This window comes from Homo sapiens, chromosome 3 (genome assembly GCF_000001405.40).
Source record: "Homo sapiens chromosome 3, GRCh38.p14 Primary Assembly".
Lineage (NCBI taxonomy): Eukaryota > Metazoa > Chordata > Mammalia > Primates > Hominidae > Homo > Homo sapiens.
Genome location: NC_000003.12, coordinates 113071655 through 113098247, shown reverse-complemented (window position 1 = coordinate 113098247; position 26593 = coordinate 113071655). Strand labels below are relative to the sequence as shown.

The following is a 26593-nucleotide window of genomic DNA, read 5'->3' as shown; positions in this document are numbered from 1 at the left end:
CATCATCGCTGCTTTTCCTTGAGAATCTTCACCTCTACTGTCCCAGGAGTGTGTTTTCCATTCTCAGTGCAGACGTTTCTCCTGGACTCTTCCCTACAAATGCTACAGAAAATATGTCTTCTCTGGCCTAGAGGAAACTCAATCTTACTTCTGGGCTGTAACCTTAGCCTCAGCCTCTTCCAAAATTCTAGATGGCTTCCTCATATGGTCCCACTACGACAGGGGCCTAAGCTTGACTCCAGATCTTCTTTGCTGCTGGCTTCTGTCCCCACCTAAGATTGTCTTTCTTTATGCCAGCCTCTGGCCCAGTCCAGATCAATGTTTCTCCTATTCCTGCTGCAATATTTCATTTACTTGGCACAGTTTTCCAATCAGTTCAGTGCTTTCATACTCAGCAACCATACTTCAGGGAAATATGGCATGTATATATCACACTCTCCCTAATTCAGCTCAACAAATTTGTCTAACTTACAAAACAAAACTGTAGAATCTGCAAAAAAAAAAAAAAAAAAAACAATTGCCATTTTCCTAGGAACCTGGTTCTGAGGCTAAGATATGCATAAGGCAAATGAAGACAGAACAATTTCAAGCCAAGATAATAAACACGGGCTTGGCAGTGAGAAAGGAATAGATACCTGTGGGAAAGGCTGAGTGAAGACTTTTGGGAAAAACTGATGGGAAAATAGATTTCTGTTTGAATCTCGGGGAAAAATCATGGTAAAACAGTAAAACCAACCCAGAAAAAAAAAAGTAAGGAAAAGGTAAGGTAATAGCAAAAAATTTCACCAATCATGTATGTTTTCAATTGAGCTCGTCAGTATACTTTTCCTACTGAATCCAATAATGAAGTTTTCCAGATGACTTTAGAATACCTCCTATATTGTCCTTTCCTTCCTCTTTCATCTTGCCTTAACTTCTGGTGGTGTTGGAACATGAAATTAATAGCACAAAAATAAAAACAGGAAGACTGCAAGTGAAGGAGCCTCAAATAAGAAGTTGAAAATAGAGTGCAGAATTCAGGACAGACTAGAAGGAGAGGTGGCAGGTGGTGGGCAAGGGGGATGGGAAGGAAGAAGAGGAACCATACTGACTATGTTTTGAAAGATGTCACTTTCAATTCTGTGAATGATCAGGGATCAGAAAACGTGATCCCTGCCATAACCTCTAAAGGCTAAGAAGCAAACATATTCCAAATACTGTGTCATTAATATTCTCTCTTTGGAAAAAGGCGATAATAATACCTCATACAGTATTGTGATTATTAGATGACTATTGTGATTATTAGATAATTATTGCACATAAAGCATTTAGAATAGTGCCTGGCACATAGAAAGTATTATAGAAGAATCGACTTCTATTATTTATATATAATAAGCACACACAAAAGGTTAAAAAAGCAAACAAAAACTCAGTCAATCTTAACATGTGGTTTGTATATTATTTTTAAGTGACCACATATTTTTTCTTTCCAGAATAAATGATATCTAAGATGGAAATGAGACAGGTTAAATGAATGCTAGTCTGGGTTTAATAACAAATCCATGTTTTTGTTCAGATGAGGAAATAAACCTCAATGATTGCATCAAAATGACCTCTGATTGCCTGATATTAAGATGTCCAAAGCAGGCAAATGTTCAGCCTATTTAAAATCACCACTTTTTTTCTGATTTAAGGGTGGTTTAAGGGTATAAACCAACTTCGTTAAAAATAAGAGGAGCTTGTTCCACTAGAAGAAACTTCTTCCAGCCTCTGAGCCAATGTTCCTAACCTGCCTGAAGAACAAATCTACCATTTCTTTGAACCTCCTTGGTGGCCCCCAGTCCCTGTGCCACAACCAAGCTCTGTTTGATTTGACAAGCTCTCACTGTGTCATGGCCCCTGCTGGCCTAGCTATACAATGGTAGACACAGGGAGAAAGAAGTTTCCCCAGTGGTCCTGCGAGGCTGTGCATTTGGTGGAGGAAAGAAAATCAGGCTGGAAAACTCCTCTGTTCTGACAATTTGGAGAGGAACATTCCAGTGACTGCCTTATTTACCTTCATGAAATGGCAAAGTGGGGACAAACAATATCTTAGCTGTCTGAATGATGGCTCTTTTTACTCTGCCCAGCTCTCAACATCTCTGAGTCTAATAGATTGTATTTCTGAGGGCAGCCTATGTCCTCAGTCCCTCATGGTTACCTTGGAATGAGGAGGAGCCTTCACATCATATTGCAATCCCTTAAAAAGACACATTTCAATTCTCCAAAGTTATTTTTCTCAAAATACAGGAAGTTTGCTGATCTAATTTCCTAGAGATAGTCCCCAGGGGTTCAGAGGCAAATTTTTCGTAAAATAAGCTGGATAACACAACAGCAACCTGGAGAGAAAAGGAGTCTGTACTACTGAATGTGGACAATTCATCTCTGCAGAAGGTGATGCAAGATTTGAGTTGACGTATAATTTTAGGGAAAAGTAGTCTTGTAAGAAAAATGCACAGAAAATTTTTCCATAATATCGAAAGGTCAAAATTAATTTTGAAAGTTTTTGTGGGTGTGAGAAGTTGAAGACTTATGCAAATATTATTTTTGAAATGAAGAATAAATTCAGAAAGGTGAGGCCAATAATAAAAGACATAAAAGTCAGAACCATAGGTTTATAAACAATCCTGACTTTGAAAAACCACTTGGAATTCTTAACATTATTGCAAAATTTACAACTTCATGTGATATTAATAGGAAAAGTAACTGCTTTTATTTTGATTTCAAATATCTTTAGTATTAAAGACTACATTCTATAAAGGCATAATTTTTTTAAATATAAAAATCCTTTGGATGATAATTGACTGTGAGTTTATGGTGAATCATTCATCAAGGTGTGGTAATGGTGTATCTTTTCCCAATTTTCTTTTTGGCATAAATAGTTTTAGTCTGTCATTATCATCATTCATAGAAGGAAAAAAAATAAATGTTTTCTCTTATAAAAACATGGGGACTGCTCAGTAAATAAACTGTTATAAAATTAAAATTGGGTTTCAACTCTGAAGATGAAGTTGTAAGAAACTGTCCACTTTTGATTCTGAAGTGGGCTTTTGTAGTAGTTTTCTGAACCTCTGGAATAAAGGGGGTTGATTTGTGATGGAATCTCCAGAGCCTGCAGTCATATATTAACAATGTGTTGTAAATCCAGAGGGTACAATATAGATTTCACAGGGGGCCCTGGGGTTAATTGAAATTCCATCTGTTTCTTCTGTGTGGCAGACATAGTATCCTGGGATATTAGCTCAGGATAAGAAATGAGATTTGCAATTTTTTTTATTTTTAAGCTAGAGGAGAGGTTTGCCTAAATCTGCTCCTCCCTACTTCTACCTCCTACCTTCAATTAAGGAAAAAAAAAAGTTGAAAATGCAGCCTTTATTTTCTCCACAGCTGCCCCTGAGGCAGCCCCCCTTCTTTCCAATGCATGCCGGGTAATGCCACGTATTCTTAGACTCCCAATGGCCCCCATTACTATCAATTAGTTACGGAATGCTACAGGGATTCATGCCTGACAGCTCGGGTAAAGGCAGGAGAAATGGGCTCAGTAGGGAGCGAGGGGCCTGATTCTTTTTTGTCCACAAGAAATACCTTTCTCAGCAAGGCTTTTAATGGCCTTCCCTTCTTCTTTTCCTCTGCCCAGGCACCCCCAACGATCTCAACACACAGGATATACACATACCCTCATATATTCATACACCGACCTGTTTGTGTGAATGCTGCCCAGGACTGTGAGAACTCTCAGAGTAGGAGGCTCTGAGATGTCCTTATAACCTCTGAAAATAACAGAGCTTGAAAATTCCAGCTTATATCTTTGCTAGAATCTGATTCCTAAGTTCTCTCTTCAGAAGATTTCTTGTTACTAAGGGCCTGCTTTGCCTCTAGCTTATTAGTATATTTTCCTTCTGCAGCTCTCCTCCCTCCAAAGAAGAAACACACTCTCTTTGGTCACAGACTCCCAGTAGGGAGCCCGCTGCACTCGTGCTGGCCAGTGGCTTGGGCAGTGAATTGTAGTTGGCCATCTCCTACCACTCTTATGTCTTTCTGATTTCTTTCCTTTACCTCTTGCTCTCTCTTCTCTACTTTCCAATATTTTCTCCCTCTTCCTCCTATCATGCCTAGATCATTCCACTGACTCCCAGAGACTTGAGGCCAAGTGCTTGTTTTAGTCATCTTTTCTCCCTCTCTCCCCTTCCTTACTCACCCCAAGTGTTTATCATAACAGGATCTGCCTCAGGACCTTTGCTCTTGCTGTCATCACTGCCTGAAACACCTGTCCTAGATATTTGAATAGTTGCCTCCATCTAATCATTTATATCTGAGCTCAAATGACACAAAACACAGTTCCTCCCTGACTTCTCAAGGTAAAGGGTCACAATTTATACCCAGTTGTTCTTTCCCATTATTATATTCTTTTCATAGCCTAACACATTATCTGAAATAGTATTATTTAGCTATATGTTTATGTGTTTATTGACTGCTTCTTCCATTAGAATGAGTCTTCATAAGGACAATTTTTTTGTTGTTGTTGCACTCCACGGAATAAGAGTTTTGTTGCACTCCATGGACAAATAGGAGCTCAATAACATGTATTGAAAATGAATGACTGAATAAAGTTTTAAAAATGTGATGCTATTGGTTGTTCTCATGGTTAAGGAGAACCCAGCATCACACCAAAATGGTTTGCCTGTTTCTGGTCTGCTACCTTTAAGTACCAAGCCTTCCTTAAGATTCAAAACAAAGATACACTTAGAAAAAACCTGATGGGAAAATGACAGATCTAATAGACAATAGCAAATACAATGCTTAAAGCGATTATATTTCTCTAGATGGGTTTAAGAAAGATGACAGAGTAGGCCAGGCACGGTGGCTTATGCATGTAATCCCAGCACCTTGGGAGGCTGAGGTGGGCGGATCACCTGAGGTCAGGAGTTCGAGACCAGCCTGACCAACATGGAGAAACCCTGTCTCTACTAAAAATACAAAATTAGCCAGGCATGGTGGTGCATGCCTGTAATCCCAGCTACTCGGGAAGCTGACGCAGGAGAATCACTTGAACCCACGAGGCGGAGGTTGCGGTGAGCCAAGATTGTGCCATTGCACTCCAGCCTGGGCAACAAGAGTGAAACTCCATCTCAAAAAAAAAAAAAAAAAAAAAAAAAAAGACAGAGTAAAGGTAATAGAGGATGACACAGAGGAAAACACCATCTGGGGCAATTAGCCCCGGGGTTATACACAGTTCCAGTTCCTTTGTCTCCTGGGGCATGGCCTAGGGCAGGGTGTGTAGGGGAGTCAAGGGCAGAAGCAGTGAGACACTTCCATCGTCTCATCCAGACATCTATAGGAAGGCAGAGGAGTCCCAGGAAGAGAGTAATATGATGGAAACAAGTGAGGGGGGTAGTGGGTGGAATGTGACTCTCAGAGAGATTTCCTCAGCCCAAGGGTAAGGCGGTAGGCATGTATTTCAGGCAGCAGGCATGTATTTCTTGAAGTCTGGGGCTTTATCGGGAGGACACTGCCCAGAGCAGGACTCAGGTCTGCAAACTGCAGCTACTTTATATTGTCACCCCATCACCACCCACATAGTGCTTTAAGATTCTGACAGAATCATGAGGCTTCATATAATGCCATCTGAGATGAATTTCCAATGCTGTCTTATTATTACATCTGCCTTACTTTAGTGCTTTTCAAACTTTAATGTGTATTTGAATTACCTGGAAAACTTGTTAAAATGCTGATTCTGGGAAAGGTTCTGAGATGCTGCATTTCTAACAAGCTCCCAGGTAATGCCATTTTGCTAGTCCACCTACACACTGAGAAGAAGGACATTACCTCACCATCATGGCGAGAAATGGAGAGCTTGGTAAAGATGGATTGACTCTAACCTCAATTAAAGAAGCAAGGGCCGGGTGCGGGGCTCATGCCTGTAATCCCAGCACTTTGAGAGGCCGAGGCAGGCAGATCAGGAGGTCAAGAGATGGAGACCATCCTGGCCAACATGGTGAAAACCCGTCTCTAGTAAAAATACACAAATTAGCCGGGCGTGGTGGCATGCTCCTGTAATCCCAGCTACTTAGGAGGCTGAGGCAGGAGAATTGCTTGAACCCGGGAGGTGGGGGTTGCAGTGAACCGAGATCGTGCAACTGCACTCCAGCCTGGGTGACAGAGTGAGACTCCATCTCAAGAAAAAAGAAGCAAGAATTTCATTAGTAAATATTTTGTTTCTACATATAAGGAAAAAAATAAACATTTATATCTATGACCCTTGTATTTTTCCTTTTTGGTAAATGAGTGTCATAGGTGCTTGGAAACAGTAAATGAATTCATTACTAGAGATAGCAAAGCTGTTTGTCAAGTGTAAATTTCTATTTTTTTCCACACCACACTCTTGAATGTGTATAATAGAGGAGGAGAGAATCAGATCTATTATACAAACTTACTTTTTTCTTCTCTTTTGTATCTTTCCTTCCTTCTTTTGTTCCTTCCTTCCTCCCTCCCTCTCTCTTTTCCCTCTTTCTTTCTTTCTCTTTTCTTTCTTTCCTTCTTTCTTCTTCCTTCTTTCTTTCCTTTCTTTCTCTCCCCCTCCTTCTTTCTTTCATTCATTCTTTCTTTCCTCTTTCTCTCTCTCTCCCTCTCCCTCCTTCTCTTTCTTTTTCTCTTTTCTTTCTTTCTCTTTCTCCTTCCTTCCTTTCTCTTTCCTTCCTTCCTTCCTCTTTCTTTCTTTCTTTCCTCCTTCTTTTTCTTGTCTCTCTCTTTCTTCCTTTTTTTCACTTTAAACGGTGCAGTTACTTTGGCATGAAGAAGGAAATTAGCCACTGTATAATGAATGAGGTTGCTTGGAAGAGAACACAGCTTGCTGTCTACTTTGCTTCTCCTTTCCTGATCTGCTAAAGAAAAGGCAAAATGTGTAAGGTGAGGCTCATACACCTGTGTTTGTACTAGTGCTCTGATTTGAATGTTTGTTCCCTCCAAAACTCCCATTGAAATTTAATTGCCATATTAACAGTATTAACAGATGGGACCTTTAAAGGGTGACTAGGCCATGAGGGCTCCGCCCTCATGCATGGAGTAATGTTATAAAAGGGCAAGTTTGGTCCTCATCTTTCTCTTTGCCTTCGCCATGTGATGTCTTCTGCCATGCTATGATGCAAAAAGAAAGCCCTCTCCAGATCCCTGAACATTGGACTTCCCAACCTCTGGAACTGTGAGCCAATAAATATATGTTCGTTACAAATTACCCAGTCTGCGCTATTCTGTTACAACAGCACAATCGGACCGAGGCAAATAGGTAGCCAATAAATAAGATTTTATTTAGAAAAAAATGCAACAGAATATCCATACCTGCACATAGTTAATCCTGCTCAAGGTGTTTGCTCTTATAAACATATGGGTTTGGGACTCAATTTACAAAAACAACTTGTATTTATAAGTTCATGGAAACTCAGACAAGAACAGGCAGCATTAATTAAGTCTGAGCCAGGTGCCAGCTGGGGGATCAAATCCAGAAGAAGCAAACAATCTAGTTAGAAAGATAATGTAAGAAAAATTAAGCAATCATTTAACATATAAACTGGAATTTACATAATTTCATAAACTGTCAGTAGCTTAATGGAGTCAAAGGGAGTTTATGGGAGGAAGAGGTTAATTTAGATTGAGATGGTCAAAGAAGCTTTTTTTGAAAGGTGGTTTGAAGGAAGGTTAGGCCAGAAGAGATGGGAATATGAGGGATGGATGTAGCAGGTAGGTGAAAGGACATGAACAACTGTGTGCATATAAAGTGTTTGGGATCTTATGAGCAGAACAGTTTCACTAAACTGATTTATTTCTTTAAGGCAAATATAATAGAGGAAGAAATGGTGGGAACAACAAAGTTGGGATTAGATTAAGGAAGGTCTTGAACCTTAGGTGAAGAAGGTTGGATTTGATTCTGTAAATAATGGGGAACTACTGGATGTTTTGAGTAGAAGAGTACATTTTTGCAAAAGTATTTTAACAGATTAATTTCAATAGTTTATACATGTGACAAAAGGGTTAGAATTAGGGTGGTGGCAGAAACTAAATAGATGGGATAGAGAATAGATCTGAAGGAATCATGTACTTTAATGACTGATGGAAGATTACAATCAATGGATGGGCAGAAACCTTCAGCCTTGAAGTTAGTAGAAGAAAATAAGCAGTTTTGGAAGGGGGAATAAATCCAGTTTGAGATATCTCAAGTTTTAATAATAGTAGGATGGACAAGTAGAAAAATCCAGTAGACAACTGGAAGTGTGACCTGGCATAGAGGTGACCATAATTGAAGTCATGGGAGTGAAAATTGCCTCTAAGGAAAACCAAGCAGAGACTGAATCTCAGAAAGGACTGGATGGAGAAATAGCAGTAGCAGAAGAAACAGACACATGGAGCATTAAGGCAGCAAAAGCAAGAAGGAGTGTCAGGACCAGGCAGTGGTCCACAGCACCAAAGGCTGCAGAGAAACCATGCAAGACAAGATCAAGGACAGACTCTTCAAGTCTATGGTGCCTTTCCCAGTGGGAACAACACAGCATGAAGAGTGGAAACCAAATGACAAGAGATTAAGGAGCAAGCAAGTCATAACAGAGTTAGAATGTATGGACTTCTCTTTAGGAAAGAGAAAAAAAATAGGATGGAAACTTGAGGTAAAGCCAAAGAATGGAGAATATTTGCACTGACCATGGTATTAGGAAATTGGTAAAAGTTGAATAAAAAGTATTGCTACACAGTAGTTGAGATGAGAGTAATTTGTCAAGTCAGAACAAACACAGGAATAAGACAGCAGACAGTGGGCAAGACTCAGGGATGTCGAGCCAACACAACAGACTGGGGAAAATGAAGTGGGCAACAGAGTAACAGGTGTTGATGAAGGCAGCCTCAAAGAGGCTGTCCAGTGAGGCCACATGAGGTTAATATATCTAGACTGGGGGAATCCAGAAACTGTAGCACACCAGCAAGAGGAGGATAATTAAGAATGGTGATCCGGCGAGGTCAGGAGATCGAGACCACGGTGAAACCCCGTCTCTACTAAAAATCCAAAAAAAATTAGCCAGGCGCGGTGGCGGGTGCCTGTAGTCCCAGCTACTCAGGAGGCTGAGGCAGGAGAATGGCGTGAACCCGGGAGGCAGAGCTTGCAGTGAGCGGAGATCGCGCCACTGCACTCCAGCCTGGGCGACAGAGCAAGACTCCGTCTTAAAAAAAAAAAAAAAAAAATGGTGATCTGGAACAACTGAGGGACTATTTCAACCCTGAGCATTCCAATTTAAAAAGCACTTGTTGCAAATCAACCAAACGACAATAATTTACTGAGCACTGTATCAGCATTGGGCTTGAGCATGTCAGGGATGGAGAAGCATGAGGCAGTGTTCCAGCCCTCGAGGCACTTTAGTGTAGTTAGAGAGGAGATGAGCTCATCTGAACCCGGTGAGAGCATCACTTCGTGGCGTTGAAAAAGGACTTTAAGTACTGTGAAGAGTTGGCTGGAGCAGAGCCGGTTGAGAGCTGCCAGGGTGGCAAAATGGGAGTCGTCCCCTCTCCTGCCCTCTTTATATCCTCTCCGATCCTCATGGCCAAGCCACACAGCTGCACCTTCAAGAGACTGGAAATGGAGCCAAAAAGAGGGCAACTGTGATTTTCTTATCATGTGAGAGACCTAAAAGCTATACATCTCCCTGCTCAGAGAAAATATGAAGGCAATATCCATTTTCTTTCTATGCCTGGTGTGGGGTACTTTGCTTAGCAGAGCAAGCTGGATCAGGAGGAAGAGACAAGAAGATTTTTAAGAGGTGAGGAGAGGTTTGGAGTCCTTGATGAGAAGCCAATAGCCAGGAGCTGCCCCACAGCTCATTGATGTTGAGTGCATGAGCAACCCTCGGGAGCCTTCCTATTGCCATGGGAGAGTCTGTTTCTGGATTGCTGTCTCACTCCTATTCCCATTCCTGGGGTCTCCGCCTAGTTCAGAGCATGCTGCACAGATCATTCAAGCCTAGGAAGGAATCCTGGCTCTGCCATTTATTGGGAGTGTGACCTTGAGCAAGTTGCTTAAGACAACTGAGTCTCATTCCCGCTTCCAATGGGGTAATCGTTCTTGTAGAAAAAAATGCCTGGTACTAAACAATTACTTGAGGTTATTGTTATTTTCATTTATTCTTACCTTCCCCCTTATCTTCATTTCTTGATGATGGACATGATTATTTTTTCCTTTCTTTTTTTCCAGCCAGCTACAATGCTTGGTAGCAGAGATAGGTTTGGCTCAATTAATCAACTATTTTCCCAGCACAACTAGTGACTGTTATTTGATGAATACTCCCCTGATGTAGCTGAAGGGGAACAACTTACTTAGTTTTGAGATTTTCAAATGGCACTGTACATCAAGATCAATCTCTGTCTCTCTCTTTCTCTGACACACACACACACACACACACACACACACACACACACACACTGCCCCATTCACAGCTGCTGAAGCAGAATCTTGGGGAGATGAGGCCTGGAATCTGTTTCTAAAAGCTTCCACCCCTGGTTAAGAACGCTGTGCCTATTCAAACTCAGGCACCCTATGAGAATATATAACAATATTGTTTGAAAAATAGACGAATTATTTTCTATCAAGCTGCGTAAATTCAGAGCCTGTGGCTGCTTCAGTCATAGCCTTAGGAACAAATTGAAAGGGATTTGTCCAATTGGGGACTTAACATTTCAGAGAAGTCCACCACACACAAAAAATATGTTTGTTCTTTTCTATGCATTAAAACAGTCTAAAGTTCAAGCTGGGGTTTGCTTTGATCTTTTATTTTTGCTTTTTTATGGGTTGCAAATCAACATCACTCCATCATCCATCTCTGCTTTACCTGTCATCATATGACTCATGACTTTCTAAAGAGTCAAGAACCTCCTCTCCCTTCAACCTCTCTGGAGTTTCTGAGGCATCCACGGAGGAGAGGGGGAGGGGTGTATAATAGAGGAGGAGGGAATCAAGTCTAGGGGGCGAAGCTGGGGCAAGAGAGGCAGAGAGCAGTGGTGGAGGAGTGAATGTCCCATAAGTACGGGTCTGGCAGGAGGATAGAAAATCCAGCAAACCTGTGCAGGGGAAATAATTTTTCACACATTTCCAATGTCTTGCTCACTGTCCCACACTGGTAGGGGTGTGTGTGTGTGTGTGTGTGTGTGTGTGTTGGGGGAGTAGCGTGGCTGTATAGTTAGAGTTGAAAATAAAAAGGCTCCCTCTATTGACTGCTGAAAGGCTGAGATAAAGAGAACCACATGGGACTCATTGTGAGAAATGAGACCTCAGAAGCTAGCCTCCTTTTTCCCATTATTGTGCTATTCTCCTCCTTCCCCCTACCCCTCCCACCTCAAATGTCCCCCAGCCCCCACCTCGCCCCACCTTCCCTTTCCCTTGCATAACCCAAAGGCCCTCTTTTCAAGCTCTCACTGCTGAGGCCCCCTCAACTGAGCCCGAGACCTCCATTCAGAGTCACTGGTTTGGGTAAAATCCCTTATTCACCCCCTCCACACCCCCATGCCCCATCAGCTGAGCCTCAGTTCAGACCTCACAAAACAAAACAAAACCAGCCCATATAATTGATGGTGGCTGCTGGAGGACCCCCCCTTCACTTTCCCCCAAGGGGCTCCTGCCCAGGCAGCTTCTATTCTCCACCATGCCCGCCCTCCCTGCCCCCAGCTCCTGCTGGATTTGTGTAGTTAACAAGTGCGCACTGTTATTATTGGGCCCCCTATCATATTTATCCCCTTTCAGATCTGATCTGCACTTTTGTCAGAGGCAACCGACGCATCTTTTGACATTTTAGCCTTTCTGTCTGCTGGGGGGTGGTGGCAATGGTGGCCACAGGGGCAGCCCCTGCATCTCCAACAGGGCAGGCGGTGCAGAAAGAAGGAGAGAACAAAACTTGAAACAAGGGGGACTGGAGAGGAGAGAGAAAAACATTGTAACTTGTTAGCAACCCAATGGCAAGAAGGCAAGGGGAGGAGGCACTAATGAGTTTGATGACAGTTGTGTTTAATAGAATTTTATTTGCCAGTGAGGCTGCAAGGTGGCTAACTTTGCTATTACACCTCAGCTAAACTCATTTTCACATGTCCACTAGATCCTAGGGAAAAGAGAAACAGAGTAGAGAAAGAGTGAAAAAGAGTGAAACCCAGAGAGATTCAGAGAGAAACAGCGACAAAGAGATAAATCAGAGAGGAAGGAAAAAGACTCTTATATTTTGGTGTTCTTAATGAAATGCATAATTGAAAGGGGTCAATAGATTTGGCAAAGATTTCTTGTGCCTTTTTAAAAATCTAATCTTAGGAAATTCACAGAAACCTCAATCTTTAATGATTAGTAAACTTCCCAGATTCTTTCATATACATTTCCATTAAGAATTTCGTGGTGGTGGGATTGAAGTAATGTCTAGAAGTGTTGTTCCGACTAAGGACTGCAGAGAGTGCTGAAATATCAATAGAGAAAAACTTAAATAAAACACAGTGGCCGGGCGCGGTGCCTCACACCTGTAATCCCAGAACTTTGGGAGGCCGAGGAGGGTGGATTGCGTGAAGTCAGGAGTTCGGGACCAGTCTGGCCAACATAGTGAAACCCTGACTCTACTAAAAATACAAAAAAATTAGCTGGCCATAAGTGCTGAAATATCAATGGGGAAGAACTTAAGTGCTGAAATATCAATGGAGAAGAACTTAAATAAAACACAGCAGCCGGGCGTGGTGGCTCACGCCTGTAATCCCAGCACTTTGGGAGGCTGAGGCGGGTGGATTGCCTGAGGTCAGGAGTTCGAGACCAGTCTGGCCAACATGGTGAAACCCCGACTCTACTAAAAATACAAAAAAATTAGCCAGGCATGGTGGTGTGCGCCTGTAATCCCAGCTACTTCGGAGGCTGAGGTGGAGGATTTGCTTGAACCAGGGAGGTGGAGGTTGCAGTGAGCTGAGATCACGCCACTGTACTCCAGCCTGGACGACAGAGCGAGATTCTGTCTCAAAAAAAAAAAAAAAAAAGAAACACAGCTAATTAATTTTCACTTGACCTCCCAGACAGTGGCACATTTATTCCAATTATACAGATGAGGAAGGAAGTTGAACAGCACTGTGATTTGCACAAGATCCAAGGTAGAGCAAAAGATCAAGAACATCTGCCTGTTGGGCCCAGAGCCAGCTCCTCAAAAAACCACAGCCTTCTTGTTTCACTATTATATTTCTAGGAAAGAATGTATTTATACTGATGTGGAAATCTGATCGACAAAATTCCAACATGCTCCTTTAGGAGAGATTGTGTGTCCAGAGAACATTAAGGGAAGAGATTAGCCAGTGAGATTAGTCATCTCCTGATTTGGTTTTCTTCCCTTATAAGACAAAAAGAGGAATCTCATTAAAAGGCTATGTAGAGGGAAACAATCCAAGTCTTCTCTGATCGTGTTCTTTTGCTTTTCTAAATAATGTGTTGTATTCATAAAAATCTTGCCCTTCCAAATTTCTGAAAGCATTTACGAACATTAATTAAGCTTCAGGATAGTGGTGAGTGGCATTTGTTATTACTCTCATCTTTCAGATAGAGAAACGGGTTTAGAGAAATTAAATCTCTAGTGCATGGTAACTCAGCACGATAGAATGAGGTATAGAATCCATCATGACTAGGTTGAAATCCACACACCTTTCTGTAAGATCAATGTCATGGAACATGTCTTTCAACAAAATTTCCAACAGCTTATGTTTATCTTAATGTTCAATCTTTCCTCTCTCTCGTCTCCTTATTGTGCAAACTTTAAAAGGTGCACATTGTAACTTTTTTTATTTTTTAAGAGATGAGGTCTTGCTCTGTTGCCCAGGAGGGAATGCAATGGCATAATCACAGCTCACTGCAAGCTCCAACTCCTGGGCTTAAGCAATCCTACTGCCTCAGCCTCCCGAGTAGTTAGGACTACAAGTGCATACCACCACGCCCAGCTAATCAAAAAAAATTTTGTAGGGACAGGGTCTTGCTATGTTGCCCAGGCTGGTCTTGAACTCCTTGCTTCAAGTGGTCCTCCCACCTTGGCCTCCCAACATGTTGGTATTACAGGGGTGAGCCACCACATCCAGGCCAAGGTGTTCTAATATATTAATTAGGCCAAGGTGATTAATAGTGCTGTTCAAATCATTTATGTCTTACTAATTTTTATCTAGTTCTATCAATTGCTGAGAGAAGTGTTAAAATCTCCCACTGTGACAGGCCAGGCAAGGTGGCTCATGCCTGTAATCCCAGCACTTTGGGAGGCCAAGGTGGGTGGATCACGAGGTCAGGAGATTGAGACCATCCTGGCTAACGCAGTGAAACCTTGTGTCTACTAAAAATATACAAAATTAGCCTGGTGTAGTGGCAGGCTCCTGTAGTCCCAGCTACTTGGGAGGCTGGGGCAGGAGAATGGCGTGAACCTGGGAGGCAGAGCTTGCAGTGGGCCGAGATTGCGCCACTGCACTCCAGCCTGGGCAATAGAGTGAGACTCCGTCTCAAAAAAAAAAAAAAAAAAGACAAACCATTACAAGTGCTGGCAAGCATATGGAGAAGAGATAATTCTTTTTTTTTTTTTAATTTTTATTTTATGTTCAGGGGTACATGTGCAAATTTGTTATATAGATAAATTGCATGTCATGAGGGTTTGGTGTAAAAGATTATTTCATCACAGAGATAATAAGCATAGTACTGGCCAGACGCAGTGGCTCGAGTCTGTAATCCCAGCACTTTGGCAGGCCGCGGCGAGTGGATCACCTGAGTTCAGGAGTTCAAGACTAGCCTGACCAACATGGTGAAACCTCGTCTCTACTAAAAAATACAAACATTAGCTGGGCGTGGTGGCGTGCTCCTGTAATCCCAGCTGCTTAAGAGGCTGAAGCAGGAGAATCACTTGAACCCAGGAGGCGCAGGTTCCAGTGAGCCGAGATTGTGCCATTGCACTCCAGCCTCAGCAACAGAGCGAGACTCCGTCTCAAAAAAAAAAAAAAAAAAAAAGTGCTCACTTCAGCAGCACATATACTAACAAAAAGAAAAAAAAGAAAAAAAAATAAGCATCGTAGCTTTTCTGTCCTCACTCTTCTCCCACCCTCCACCCTCAAGGAGGCCCCAGTGTCTGTTGTTCTCCCCTTTGTGTCCATGTGTTCTCAATATTTATCTCCTACTTATGAATGAGAGTATGTGGTATTTGGTTTTCTGTTCCTGCATTACATCACTTAGGATAATGGCTTCAGCTCCATTCATGTTGCTGCAAAGGACATGATATTGTTCTTTTTTTTATGGCTGTGCAGTATTCCATAGTGTATATGTACATTTTCTCTATCCAGTCTACCATTGATGGGCATTTAGACTGATTCTATGTCTTTGTTATTGTGAATAGTGCTGCGATGAACATACACGTGCCTGTGTCTTTATGCCAGAACAATATATATTCCTTTGGATATAAACCTGGTAATGGGATTACTGGGTCAAATGGTAGTTCTGTTTTAATTTCTTTAAGAAATTATCAGGCCGGGTGTGGTGGCTCACGCCTGTAATCCCAGCACATTGGGAGGCTGAGGAGGGCAGATCACCTGAGGTCAGGAGTTCGAAACCATCCTGGTCAACATGGTGAAACTCCATCTTTACTAAAAATACAAAAATTAGCTGGGCGTGGTGGTGGACGTCTGTAATCCCAGCTACTCGAGAGGCTGAGGCCGGAGAATCACATGAACCTAGGAGGCGGAGGTTGCAGTGAGCCAGGATCGCACTGCTGCACTCCAGCCTGGGTGACAAAAGCAAAACTCTGTCTCAAAAAAAAAAAAAAGAAAAAGAAAAAGAAAAAAGAAATTATCAAACTACTTTTCACAATGGCTGAACTAATTTATATTCCCACCAGCAGTGTATATACGTTCCCAAGAGAAAAGGGAATTCTTAAACATCATTGGTGGGAATTTAAGTTGGTACAGCCATTTTGGGAAATAATATGAAGGTTCCTCAAAAACTAAAAATAGTATTACCGTATGATCCAGCAGTACCACTTCTGGGTATGTACCCTAGAGGAATGAAATTGATCTGTCAAAAGACATCTGCATTCACATTTTTATTTCAATCTTTCGAAATATATTAAGACTTATTTTGTGGCCTAACATATAATCTATCCTGAAGAATGTCTTGTGTTTGTTTGAGAAAAATGTGTATTACTTTGCTGTTGGATGAAATATTCCACATATGTCCATTAGGTCTATTTGGTCTAAAGTGTAGTTTAAATCTGACATTTTCTTACTGATATTCTGTCTGGATAATCTATCCATTGCTGAAAGTAGGGTATCTAAGTCCCTTACTATTATTGTAATACAGTCTATCTCCCCCTCAGGTCTACTAATATTATATATATTAGTATATATATAATATTACATATATTAGTATATATATAATATTATATTAGTATATATATAATATTATATATATATTAGTATATATGTAATATTATATATAGAAGTATATATGTAATATATATAAATCTATAAGTATATATATTATATATACTTATATATAATATATATAAAAATATTATATATAATATATATTATATATATTACATATAATAATATATATAATATATATTACATATATTATATATAATATTATATGTAATATATATTACATATATTATATATAATATTATATATAAAATTATATATTTAGAAGTTGTGATATTGGGTGCATATATATTTACAATTGTTATTTTTTTAATGAACTGACCTCTTCATCATGATATGATGACCTTCTTTATATCAGTTTACAGTTTTTGACTTAAAGTCTATCTTCTGTGATAGGTGTATAGCTCTCCGTGACTTCTCTTTTAGTTTCTAATTGCATGAAATATCTTTCCGTGTATTCACTGTCAGTCTGTATGTATCATTAAAACAGCTATATGAATTTGTTGATTGATTTTGAATATTGACTAACGGTGTCTCCTAAATATGATATATAAATGGAATTTCATAACTAAAGTATTTATAATTGTAAGGCCTTTTTGCTAGCAGAATTTACTCTGATAAAATTATTTACACTAGTGATGTTATATTACGTATTCTGTTAGCACTCCAAAATACCCAGAGGTAGTTTATAACATACTACACAATTGTTAATAAAAACCTATAGCATATATGCATATAAAAAAAAAATCTCCCACTGTGACTGTAGACGTTCTTATTTCTCCCTTTAATTCTGTCCAAGTTTGCTTTATGTATTTTGAAGCTCTGTTATTAGATACATACTCACTTATAATTTTATGTCTTACTGATGAATAGACTCCCTTATTATTATGAAATGTCCCTCTTTATCTCTAGAAATACTCTTATCTATTCTCTTATGCTATTTGCATGGTTTATCTTTATCTTTTTTTCCCAGTTACTTGTAACCTTTCTCACCCACCCTAAATCAATACATCTAAATTCCTGTTTATATAACAGCCTTTTGTGAATTTTACTAGTTTGAGTAAGATATTAAGAGTATGATCCTGGCCAGGCTTGGTGGCTCATGCCTATAATTCTAGTACTTTGGGAGGCTGAGGTGGGCGGATCACTTGAGGCCAAGAGTTCGAGACAAGCCTGGCCAACATGGTGAAACTCCATCTCTACTACAAATACAAAAATTAGCCGGCCTGGTGCCAGGTGCCTATAATCCCAGCTACTTGGGAGGCTGAGGCAGGAGAATTGCTTGAACCTGGGAGGCGGAGTTTGCAGTGAGCTGAGACCCTGCCCCTGCACTCCAGCCTGGGCGACAGAGAAAGACTCCGCCTCAAAAAAAAAAAAAAAAAAAAAAGAAAAAAGAAAAAGAAAAAAAGACTAAGATCCTCTCCAGATGAATCAATAAGAGGAAAACCCTGAAACTAAAAAGTCAAAATCAGGTGCAGAAGGCCCAGCTGACAGCTCTTTTGACCAATGTTAAAAACCTCATCATCTGAGCTCTCCATTCTTTCCTCTCTTCTTATTCAGACTTTCAGATAGAGAAACAAGTCTTCTCATATGTCCAATTGTCATCTTTTTCTCTTCCTCTCCAGAAATGAAACACTAGTCCATGACCTTGTCACCCCTGCCTCTGATCATTAAGGTTTTCTCCCCTCGGACATCCCTGCCTCTCACCTCTCCCACCAAAAGGCACAAGCAGAAAAAAAATCTCATTGAGTTCTTTCTTTTCTTGGGAGTTTCTCCTCAATGCTCCTTTTGTTTCCTTTTTAACCCCTTGGTTTGGTAACCTTCCCTGTATTCCTCTTGAAATCGCTCAATTTTTCATGTTCCTTTTCCTCCTTGAAATCCCTCCGTAATGTCCACTTCTTTTTCTCGGTCTCCCAGTGTTTTCCTCCTTTCCAGCCACATCAACTCAACTAGATGTCTCACTGTTTATTCAGTGTTTTGTTTATGTCTAAATCTGACAGTCAACGCCTTGGGGCTGGGGTTTCATTTTCAGAGTTCCATGCTTTGCAAAATGCCATTTGCATTTACCACATTCTATAAATAATAAATAATCAGACCAAAGAATCAGTAAACTGGTGCTAGATCACTGATTAGCATAAGTATTCAACACATCGAGTTGCTGCTGCTGCCGCTGCTGCCGCTGCTGCTGCCACCACCACAAAAACTTTTTCTCTAAGAAAAACAGAGCAACTGTTTGAAAAAGAACCTTGGAAAAGATATTTGGTCACAATTCAATTTGGAGGAGGTAGAGGACAAATTGTAGAAAAAAAGGCTCCCAGGACTTCTCATCCTGTCTCCTAAAGGAACTTCTGTGAGGACTGAGCTCTTTCTGTCCTCACAGAGTCTTATTCTTCCTTTTTACCCTGCCCCTCGCACAGCGCCTGACGTGAATTAGGCACACAACAGACATAGTTCTTGAACTGTCCCCCTGAAGATAAAGAACATTAGGGGAACTTTAGCTCACCCCAGTACCTAGCTTTGGAATAATTCTTTGAGACACAGCCTTATTCTTGACTAACTTGTAGACATATCAAATTGTCACAGAAACTGGATTACTACATCAAAAACTACATTCAATATTTAGTATATAATTTGATGTTCAAAACGCAGTGAATTATGTATAACAGGCTCTGGTTAAGAAGGCAGATTGAAGTATATACTCTCTCTATATATTTTTATTATGTATATTAACATTTTCACTTGCTACATATAGAAAATGAAAAATATGAAATATATATAAAAATGAAAAAATATATAATTTCAAAAGCCTCCAATGAAAATGTTTGATCCTGAAAGGGACATCCTCAGCTACATAGAAAATTCACATTACAGAAGTCTGACCTGAGGGCTCCAGTGGGTGGAGCTGAAATTTAACTTTCCTGTCATTATCTAGCTTAGTAGTATATCTGGCATATGCCTTTTAGCTTGTTCTAGAATCACATGGACTATACATTCTTATATGAAGTATGGAGCTGGGGTTTTCCAGCTACTAAGATGTAGTGTTCAGGTGCTCTGGGCACTGCTCTCAACACTCACATCCAACAAGGTTGATAATGAACATTCGTCCATTCATTCAGCACACATTTCCTGAGCTTCTTCTATGAACCAACTTTTTCATGAGTAATATGTGCTGCCAGGCCTTTAAGAAGACTACAGCAGGCAAGTGCAGTGGCTCATGCCTGTAATCTCAACACTCTGGGAGGCTAAGGCAAGAGGATCGCTTGAGCCCAGGAGTTTGAGGTTATAGTGGGCTATGATCATGCCACTGCACTCCAGCCTGGGTGACAGAGCAAAACCCTGTATCAAAAGAAGAAGAAAACAACTATGGCAGGGCTAAGTCCCACATGACTTGGAACATTCTTAGGACATAGCTTTACTTTGGGATGGGAGGTAAAGCTGTGGCTAATAGTAACATGACATTGGTATCTTGCCTGTATCTTCTCAATTCCAAATTTAGAAGACTCCCCTCATGTAGAACAGACCTACCACTAGCTGAGTTGATAGACAAAAACCTTGAAGGCAAACATGGGCCAGAAGCAAAAGAGAACTCTGATAAATAAAGATGGGAGATGTAGAGGAGACGAGGCATAGACAAGATGGGACACTTCCCCTTATGGGGGAAGGTGAGTTTGTATGAATCCTGTGGACACCAGGTCCATGCTGCAGGGCCCTGTGTTTGTGGGGACTTGTGCTCAACTTCTTGGCCCAAGTGGGGTCTTTCACCAGATGATGACTAGCTTGACAGGTAAGATTTAAATGGAAAAACCATGGTCAATTAGAACAGTTTCAAGCCCCTAGGGAGCTCGGATATAAGCCTCTTGTTAGGAAGGGAAGGCTAGGAAGACGATTTAGATCTAGTAGACCCTCTGTATTGTATGCTCTGCAACCACGGGTTTTGCATCCATGGATTCAACTAACCACAGATAAAAAATATTTGAAAAAAATACAAATAAAAAACAATACAGTGTAACAACTAAGTACATAGCACTTACATTGTATTAGGTATTATAGGTATCTGAAGATGATTTAAAGTATATGAGAGGATGTGCATAAGTTATATAAAAATACTAGACCATTTTATAAAAGGAACTAGAGCATCTGTGGATTTTGGTATATGTTGGGTTGTGTGTGGTGGCATGAGGCGGGGGTTGGGGTCATCCTAAAACCAATCTGTTTTTTTGAGACAGAGTCTCACTCTGCCACCCAAGCTGGAGTGCAATGATGTGATCTCGGCTCACTGCAACCTCTGTCTCCCAGGTTCAAGCAATTCTCCTGCCTCAGCCTCCCAAGTAGCTGGGATTACAGGTGCCTGCCACCATGCCTGGCTAATTTTTTTTTGTATTTTTAGTAGAGAGGGGGTTTCATCAAGTTGGCCAGGCTGGTCTCGAACTCCTGACCTCAGGTGATCCACCTGTCTTGGCCTCCCAAAGTGCTGGGATTACAGGTGTGAACCACCACGCCTGGCCCTAAAACCAATCTTTTGAGGATACCTAGGGACAACTGCATACAATTTTTGGCTGCCTAAAGAGGACTTCCTCAAGAGGACTCAGCCACCTCTTCTTTTAAAGGGCTCCGGATCTGTGAACCAAAGGAATTGGTTAAGAGGTCACAAGTTTCTATTATGGTGATTCAAGTCAGACATCCATTGAGCAAACCTGGAACTTTTCTGCTTTTCCAAATTAAGTAAAACTTCACTAGACTGTCCATCTATTCAGTGCTACAGACACTAAAATTAACTGGCCAACACCAGTGGTCTCTGAGATTTAAACCATTCTGTTTATTGCTTTGGCTGTTTATTGCTTTGCCCATTACAGTAACCACATCCACCTTGTTTCTGGTGATAAAGCCTGCCACCCCTGGATCCAATCATTCCCACTGAATTCAAGGGACCAGTTAGATAGCAACAAAGAAAAGATCAAGGATGCTGGAGCTCCCTTTTTGAAAATATTTCTTATAGACTTGGTAAAAGGAGTGTCCTCTGGACTCTCTTAGGGGATGTAGTTGAAGGGGAAGGTCTTACAAGGTAAACGTACTCTAGCATTTAGAACTCCTTAAGCCTTTGGGCACCTTCCTCTGTGGTAGCCTGTTGTGAACTTTTTGGTCTCAGACTCCTTTGCTTTCTTAAAAATTATTAAGAACTCCAAAGACTTTTTATTTATTTGAATTACATCTATTATTATTTACCATCTTAGAAATTAAAACTGAGAAGTTTAAAAATTTTTCTTTGATACTATACCAAAATTTGGTAAATATACTTTCTTAATGGTTAACTACAATGTGAAATTGAAACTATATCAGCAAAAATTTGTTTATACTGTTAAAGTCCATTATATTGAAATTTGAATGGATCTTTTATGATTTAGTAATAGCATGCACTGGTCATTTGCAAAATATTTGTCACTGAATTATGCAGATTTTCAAATGTTGACACATTTCATTCTACAAGACTAAAAGTCACAATTGTTAATATCAGAAATTTAAAAGTTGTCATATCTTATAGTGGCAGATACAAGTTTTCCATAACTCTCATTTTTACTTGAAAGTTCAAATTTTTATCATCAACAAATGATGCCAGTTGTTTTAATTGAAGTGACAGGCCCACTTTATTTTTAAGAAAATGGTTATATTTTGTCTGTCAGTCATTCTTTCAAGCAAAATATGGTATTCCATGAAAAACAATACTGGCTAGTTCAGCTCACAACTCAAGTAATCACAGATGTGCCTTTTCTTAAGATGATCATTGTATTTTTGTGTATAGCAGAAGTGCTTTATGTGTACTTTCCATTTCACTACACAGAATATTAAAAAGACATGCCTTCAAGCATTGAAATTGAATACAAATAATAATGTTTTTACTGTTTCATCAAATATATTCTTAAGGGTCACTTGCATTTCTCTTTTTATTGTGTGTGGCAGTGAAGACTAATGTGCTGGCTAATGCACTAGCAGCTTTCCCATTACTACTTTTGCATCATCAGAACAAATGAACTTAACAGATATTTACAGAACGTTCTGCCAACAACCGCAGAATATACATTCTATGCATCAGCACGTGGAACTTTCTCTAAGATAGACCATATAATAGGCCACAAAACAAGACTCAACGAATTTAAGAAAATCAAAATTATAGCAAGTACTCTCTCAGACCACAGGGGAATAAAATTGAAAATCAACTCCAAAAGGAAGCCTCAAAACCATGCAAATACATGGAAATTAAATAACCTGCTCCTGAATGATCCTTGGGACAACAATGAAATCAAGAAGGAAATTTAGAAATTCTTTGAACTCAATGATAATAGTGACACAACCTATGAAAACCTCCGGGATACAGCAAAGGTGGTACTAAGAGGAAAGTTTATAGCATTAAATGCCTACATCAAAAAGTCTGAAGGAGCACAAATAGACAATCTAAGGTCACATCTCAAGGAGTTAGAGAAACAAGAGCAAACCAAACCCAAACCCAGCAGAAGAAAAGAAATAACCAATATCAGAGCAGAACTAAATGAAATTGAAACAAACAAACAAACAAAACAATATGAAAGATAAATGAATCAAAAAGCTGGTTCTTTTAAAAGATAAATAAGGTTTATTATTTATTTATTATTTATTAGCGAGATTAACCAAGAAAAGAAGAGAGAAGATCTAAATAACCTCAATTAGAAATGAAATGGGACATATTACATTTGGTATTAGGGTGATATTGACTTCATAAATTATTTAGGGAGCAGTCTTAAGAAACACAAAAGATCATTCAAGGCTACCATGAACACCTTTACTCACATAAATTAGAAAACCTACAGGAGATAGATAAATTCCTGGAAATATACAACCCTCCTAGATTAAAACAGGAAGAAATAGAAACTTTAAACAGACCAATAACATGCAGCAACATTGAAATGTAACAAAAACATTGCCAACAAAAAAAGTCCAGGACCAGATGGATTCACAGCTGAGTTCCATGAGACATTCAAAGAAGAATTGGTACCAATCCTATTGACACTATTCCACAAGACAGAAAAAGAGAGACTCCTCCCTAAATCATTTTATGAAGTCAATATCACCCTAATACCAAAAACCAGGAAAGAACATAACAAAAAAAGGAGAAAACTACAGACCAATATCCCTGATGAATGTAGATGCAAAAATCCTCAACAAAATACTAGCTAACCGAATCCAACAGCATATCAAAAAGATAATCCACCATGATCAAGTGGGTTTCATACCAGGGATGCAGAGATGGTTTAACATCTGCATGTCAATAAATGTGATACACTACATAAACAGAATTAAAAACAAAAAATCATATGATCATCTCAATAGACACAGAAAAAGCATTTGACAAGATCTAGCATCACTTTGTGATTAAAACCCTCAGCAAAATCGACATAGAAGGGACATACCTTAAGGTCATAAAAGCCATCTATGACAAACCCACAGCCAACATTACACTGAATAGGGAAAAGTTGAAAGCATCCCCCGTGAGAACTGGAACAAGACAAGGATGCCCTCTTTCACTACTTCTATTCAACATAGTACTGGAAGACCTAGCCAGAATAATCAGACAAGAAAAATAAATAAAGGGCATCCAAATTGGTAAAGAGAAAGTCAAATTTTCTGTTTGCTGATGACATGATTGTATACCTGGAAAACGCTAAGACTCCCCAAAAGGTCCAGGAACTGATAAATGAATTCAGCAAAGTTTCAGGATACAAAATTAATGTACACAAATCAATAGCTATACACCGACAATGACCAAGCTGAGAATCAAATCAAGAACTCAACCCCTTTTACAATAGCTACAAAAAGAAAAAAGAAAACCTAAGCAAGGAGGTGAAAGGCCTCTACAAGGAAAACTATAAAACAGTACTGGAAGAAATCACTATTCTAAGTGAAGTAACCCAGGAATGGAAAACCAAACATTGTATGTTCTCACTTATAAGTGGGAGCTAAGCTATGAGGATGCAAAGGCATAAGAATGACATAATAAATTTTGGGGACTTGGGGGAAAGGGTGAAAGTGGGGTGAAGGATAAAATACTACACATTGGGTATGGTTTACATTGCTTGGGTGATGGGTGCACCAAAATCTCAGAAATCCCCACTAAAGAATTTATTCATGTAACCAAACACCACCTGTTCCCCAAAAACTTACAGGAAAAAAAAAAAAGGCTTGACTCCTAATGGCAGATGATTACCTATGTTTGCAGGTGGAAGATGAGTACGTAAGTTTTGCCTCCGCATGCCGTGAATTATCAGTATGTTGTTTACCCCTGGAAGTAGGTAAAATCTAATCAGATCAGGGTAACACTTATAGAAAACCCAGAGGCAATTCAAGAACCCGTCTTTAAAGTTTTGCTTCACTGAAACCACTCCTAGTACCAATTTTTTTCACAGTTAGTGTTTGATCAGAGATGAGAAATATAGAGTAAGAGAATTTTTTCTTTCTTTTTTTTTTTTTTGAGACAGAGTCTCACTCTGTCATCCAGGCTGCAGTGCAGTGGTGTAATCTCGGCTCAGGGAATTTTTAGCAGGAGTTAGATCTCAAACAGTCGTGGAAGCTGGCTAAGCAGTCTATTTGAGGTTACTGCTTTGTATCTAATGTTGGGCCCAAAGACACCAGGGCCAGTAGTCGGGAAGAAAAATAGACATAAGTTGAGGGACAGCACGTATTTGTTAAGTGCTTACTATTATGTGCCCTCTGCTCTTCTGGACTCACAGAGATGCCCTTTGTCCACTTGGTCACCACTGGCCTTGCAGGCATTCATTAAGGTCAGTGGCCAGCATAATACTTGCTCAGGTTCCTTTTGGCTCCACCGGGGACAGTAACCATCCCTGGCATTCTTGCCTCATCTGTGAACCCCTCTGGAATTGAGCTGAGACCTTATTATACATTTGGTCTTGATCTAGGTGGTTCCCTCTGCTGAGAGTCACCTCAGGTTGGCAGGCACTCTTTGGCAAGTTTTTCAGATAGGTTATCAACTAAATTTGAGTTATACATGCCATGGGCAACTGAAAGTGACTTAGGAAAGATAAATTTGTGTGCCTTTCTCTGCTTAACTACACTGTACAACTAGGTTTGCATGAAAGTAACACACCCCACATTAATCTAGGTGGTAACATCCTTCCAGAGGCCCAGATGAGAAGCTGGAATAAAGGTTGCTGTTGCTGGGCACAATGGCTCATGCCTGTAATACCAGCACTTTGGGAGGCCCAGGTAGGTGGATCACGAGGTCAGGAGTTCCAGACCAGCCTGGCCAACATAGTGAAACCCCATCTCTACTAAAAATACAAAAAATTAGCCAGGTGTGGTGGCGTGCACCTATAGTCCCAGCTACTCGGAAGGCTGAGGCAGGAGAATCGCTTGAACCTGGGAGGCGGAGGTTGTGGTGAGCTGAGATTGCACCACTGCACTACAGCCTGGGCGACGAAGCGAGACTCCATCTGAAAAAAAAAAAAAAAAAAGATTCCTCTCCTTGGAATTCAGTTGACTTAATTTGGTACTTCTAAAGCACTCCTGTCATTTTAGTCATAGACTGTGTATGTGTGTGTGTGTGTGAGAGAGAGAGAGAGAGAGAGAGACAGACAGAAAGAAAGAGAGAATGAGAAAGAGACAGAGAAAGAGAGAGAGAATGAGAAAGAGAGAAAGAGAAAAGAGAGTGCTTTGGAACCAAGAGTGTGCTGGTCACTCGATCTATGGGGGAGAAAAGGCCCTTGTTTGTAACATTTTCTGATTTCTGAGCAGGGTATCAATATTTGCACTCTGCTTAAAAAATGTGTGAATATTTAAAAGGAGACTTTGCTAGCCTGTATAAGCTGACTCCAGCATTCCATTGCCTGGTTCCTTTCTATATCATCTACTTTTGCTTTCCTCTCATTTGTCTCTTCTCAAAACTCCTCAGTCAGAAAGAGTGGGCTTTCTTTTCTTTCCAATCTCACATTCTTCTTCTACCATGAAATGGTGAGCCTCTTGGCTTGGGGATGATATAATTTATCATCGAAACTAGAACTTTTTTGAGCGTGAAAGGGAGCAGTTGTAATGTTTCATCAGAACAACAGGAATAAACCAGGACTGGAACACTGGAATATAGGGTTTCCCTACTCAT

At 40.2% G+C, this 26593-nt stretch overlaps 2 long non-coding RNA genes across 13 annotated transcripts in view, besides 1 other annotated feature; one reads left to right on the top strand and one right to left on the bottom strand.

Annotated features, from left to right (window-relative positions):
- The window catches only part of NEPRO-AS1 (NEPRO antisense RNA 1), a 164860-nt gene that overhangs the window by 86130 nt on the left and 52137 nt on the right, over window positions 1–26593 (bottom strand). For 2 of the 12 annotated variants that reach the window (NR_186652.1, NR_186653.1), the window contains one exon: window positions 7302–9625. The exons of 9 other annotated variants lie outside the window; for them this stretch is intronic. This is a non-coding gene — a long non-coding RNA (NEPRO antisense RNA 1). Of the gene's footprint in view, window positions 1–7301; window positions 9626–24685; window positions 24761–26593 lie in introns of those variants that run through there. One more of the 12 variants, NR_186654.1, reaches the window with a different exon arrangement.
- The window catches only part of LOLI1 (lncRNA oncogene in liver cancer 1), a 53508-nt gene that overhangs the window by 6173 nt on the left and 20742 nt on the right, over window positions 1–26593 (top strand). The gene's annotated exons all lie outside the window — the stretch shown is intronic.
- Window positions 688–5601: an enhancer, noted in NCBI's record as "VISTA enhancer hs1685". NCBI's record gives its function as "enhancer in: neural tube[10/14] | hindbrain (rhombencephalon)[10/14] | midbrain (mesencephalon)[12/14] | forebrain[9/14] | limb[7/14] | eye[11/14] | facial mesenchyme[3/14]" and the evidence as "EXISTENCE:transgenic organism evidence [ECO:0001131][PMID:17130149]".